The sequence below is a fragment of the Homo sapiens genome, chromosome 5 (assembly GCF_000001405.40).
Source record: "Homo sapiens chromosome 5, GRCh38.p14 Primary Assembly".
In the NCBI taxonomy this organism is placed as follows: Eukaryota; Metazoa; Chordata; class Mammalia; order Primates; family Hominidae; genus Homo; species Homo sapiens.
In genome coordinates, this window is record NC_000005.10 from 79,463,879 (window position 1) to 79,468,008 (window position 4,130).

The 4,130-nt window shown below is 39.4% G+C and overlaps 1 protein-coding gene across 5 annotated transcripts in view; it reads right to left on the bottom strand.

Moving 5' to 3' along the window:
• HOMER1 (homer scaffold protein 1) overlaps positions 1-4,130 on the bottom strand; it is a 141,499-nt gene that overhangs the window by 91,243 nt on the left and 46,126 nt on the right. The gene's annotated exons all lie outside the window — the stretch shown is intronic.

Consider the following 4,130-nt stretch of genomic DNA (forward strand, 5'->3'; position numbering starts at 1 on the left):
TGCAATAAGGATTTAAAATCCAAAGCTTTCAATTAAAAAAATAGTAATATAAGAGCTTATTAGAGCTATGGAGGCAACCACTAAAAGAAATAAAAATTACATTTTTTAAAAGTAGTTGCTTCTGGGGATGGGGCTCAATTACTTCGCTTTCTTATCCTTTAGGTATTGTTTAATTTTTCTTAACCTTGTATAGGTATTAAAATATCTTTCTAAAATGGCACTGTGAAGAAATTACACTTACATAACAATTAACGATGGAAAATAATGCTTTAGGGGCCATTTTTGAAGACTGCCAAAGAATCAAAGAATGACAATTTTAACAGGTTGGAACTCAACTGAGAGGAATAAGGGAAAGTAGGAGAGGAGCGAAATCCAAACATGCCTAACTGTAGGACTACAGGTGCTGAAGGTACATCCAATTCCCGACAAAAACATCCCCCTTGATTTGAAGTAAACAGGAAAGTAAGACAAAAAACATTCTACCCTCAGCTTGCTTTTGGGTGACTGAAGTGGCAAGAGAAGCTGAACAATACTTGTTCAGGCCAAAATGAGAATGACAAGGATAAGTCCAGGAATAGACGGACACTAATTACCATTTAACTTGATAGGTAATGGCTGGAGAATTTAGTTTCAGTGCCACTATGAAGTGGCATAGCATGACTTTGGATGCAGCAGCTCAAGCACTGGAATTTCCTAGAAAGAATTATCCTGTACAACTTAATAATATAAATTGAAACTCCACACGATTATCAGGGAACTGGTTTAAATCTCACCACCTCCTCTCTTTCTCATACATATATCCTACCCCATGAAAAATCTCATTAAGATACCTGTTTTGATGCTGCTCAGAGATTATGACTGCATAATATAACATACTACCAACTGTATGTCCCTATGCCATGATATGTGTAATAAGCTGATTGCTTATACATACAATGTTCTTTTTTAAAAACCATATACGAACTTTGAAGAATGCAAAGGTTTTTCTGCTAATGGCTACCCAACACATAATTATACTGCAACAACTCCACCTAGTGATGAACCAAAAATATAGCAGGTGCATGTTTTTTAAAACCTGGAAGTTACTCTATAGCAAATACAAAATTGTAAAGTAACCTTGCTATAATAGAAGTATCGAGACTTCTGGAAGGATTTTTTTTTTTAATTGTATGATCTGGCCAGGCACAGTGGCTCACCTCTGTAGTCCTAGTGCTGTGGGAGGCCAAAGCGGGAGGATCGCTTGAGCCCATGAGTTCCAGACCAGGTTGGCCAACAGCAAGACCTCGCCTCCATAAAAAATTTAAAAATTAGCTGGCTGTGGTGGCACATGCCTATAGTCTCAGCTACTCAAGAGGATGAGGCAGGAGGATCATTTGAGCCCAGGAGTTGGAGGCTGCAGCGAGCTATGATTGTACACCACTGCATTCCAGGATGGGTGACAGAGCAAGACCCTGTCTCTTTAAAAAAGAAAAAAAAATGTATGATCTGAATTCCTTGATCTTTTAATCTGTTGGGTGAACACTGAAATTAAAGGTTTTAAAAAATAATTGTTTGCATTATAGTTATCAGAAATATTTTCATGACATTAAGTATTTAATTGATGTATTTGAAGAAAATATCAAATCTAAAATTTCCATTTGGAAATTAAGATTCTTAAATTATATAAAAATACACTTAAAGAGTAACAGTACTGTTTACATTTCTTCTTTTTTTTTTTTTTTTTTTTTTTTTTGAGACAGAGTCTCGCTCTGTCGCCCAGGCTGGAGTGCAGTGGTGCAATCTTGGCTCACTGCAAGCTCCACCTCCCAGGTTCACGCCATTCTCCTGCCTCAGCCTCCCGAGTAGCTGGGACTACAGGCACCCGTCACCACACCCTGCTAATTTTTTGTATTTTTTAGTAGAGATGGGGTTTCACCGTGTTAGCCAGGATGGTCTCGATCTCCTGTCCTCGTGATCCGCCGGCCTCAGCCTCACAAAGTGCTGGGATTACGGGCGTGAGCTACTGTTTACATTTCTTATATGTCACCTCTTACTTTAAGAGTAGTTTTTATAATCTATAGGACATGGTATTAGTTATTAAGAGATTTTAGTACTTACTCTTGGCCACTTTAATAAGTAGCTATAAAGTATTAAGGAATATGCTGAAATTCAGAGTAAAAAGCAAGCAACCTCATTCAATGCACATTTAAGCAACATCTTCAATGTTCAAAGAAACTTGCTTGGTATGTATTAAATAACTGCCAAGTGACTTTGTCCTTACCACCCATTAAAAACCCCATCCATTTCAGGTAAAATTTCAGTGTTTAAAAATATATCAAGTATGCCTGATAGATCACATTTAAAATTACATTTTTAGGCTGGGTGTGGTGGCTCATACCTGTAATCCCAGCACTTTCGGAGGCTGAGACAGGCAGATTGCCTGAGCCCAGGAGTTCAAGACCAGCTGGGCAATATGGGGAAACCCCATCTCTACAAAAAATTAGCCGGGCATGGTGGCGCACACCTGTGGTCCCAGCTACTTGACAGGAGAGATCACCTGAGCCAGGTAAGTCAAGGCTGCAGTGAGCTGAGATCGTGCCACTGCACTCCAGCCTGGCCAACAGAGGAGACCCTGTCTCAAAAATAATAATAATAATAATAATAATAAATAAATTACAATTAGAATTGATATGGCACATTCCATTTTACTTGACTTTAAATATTCTCCTCTTCCCAAATGATTTCCACTAACTCAAGCTAAATTCTGAGAACTGACAGTATATGCCTGGGAAATCTAAAGAAAGTAATCTCTTGTTAATAACTAGAATTTAATTATTGTTAATATAGGTAGTACTATTTGACCTATTGCCAAATAGGTTAAACTCCTGGCGTTTTATTAAAAATCTAAGTGATTTCCCAATAGACATCCAGTTCTTAAAAACTATTTTTTTTTTAGACAGAGTCTCACTCTGTCACCAAGCTGGAGTGCAGTGGCACAATCTCGGCTCACTGCAACCTCTGCCCCCTGGATTCAAGCAATTCTCCTGCCTCAGCCTCCCAAGTAGCTAGGATTACAGGTGTGCACCACCACACTTGGCTAATTTTTGTATTTTTAGTAGAGATAGGGTTTCACCATGTTGGCCAGGATGGTCTCGATCTCTTGATCTTGTGATCTGCCTGCCTCGGCCTCCCAATGTGCTGGGATTACAGGTGTGAGCCACTGTGCCCGGCCTTAAAAACTTTAAAAACAAATGAATTAGGCTGGGCGCAGAGGATCAGGCCTGTAATCCTAGCACTTTGGGAAGCTAAGGCGGGCGGATCACTTGAGGTCAAGACCAGCCTGGTCAACATGGTGAAACCATGTCTCTACTAAAAATAAAAAAATTAGCTGGGCGTGCTGGCAGGGGCCTGTAATCCCAGCTACTCAGGAGGCTGAGGCAGGAGAATGGCTTGAACCTGGGAGGCTGAGGTTGCAGTGAGCCGAGATTGCACCATTGCATTCCAGCCTGCGCAACAAGAGTGAAACTCCATCTCAAAAAAAAAAAAAAAAAAAAAACTAATGAAATGCTATAAAGGCCATTTAAGTGCTAATATCACCTTCAACGAACAATCATAATACTCTAAGGTACACTTTTCTACTTGCTACAAACTAAATGAGTGGATGTTCAGTCCATATAATATCTAAACAAATAAATATTCTAATAAGTAAACTCAGGATTGAAGAGAAAGATTCAGAGATACTTGAACAAAATGTTAACATTTGTGAAATTTGAAAAGTGGATATGTGTATAGTATTCCCTGTATTATTGTGAATATTTTAAATTGCTCAAAACAAACAATAAAACGTCACAGCACTTCTCTAGTTCTTATTGACAATGCAAAATTTGAATAATCGGCCACATTTTACTTTATATAATATAGGCCGGTGTTTTGTTTTGAGACAGGGTTTTGCCCTGTTGCCCAGGCTGGAGTGCAGTGGTGCGATCAGAGCTCACTTCAGCCTTGACCTCTCAGGCTCAAGCGATCCTCCTGCCTTAGCCTCCAGAGTAGCTGGGACTACAGATGAGCGTGCACCACCACATCCAGCTTTTTTTAGTTTCTAGAGATGGGGTTTCACTGTTACCCATGCTGGTCTCAAACTCCTGGGCTCA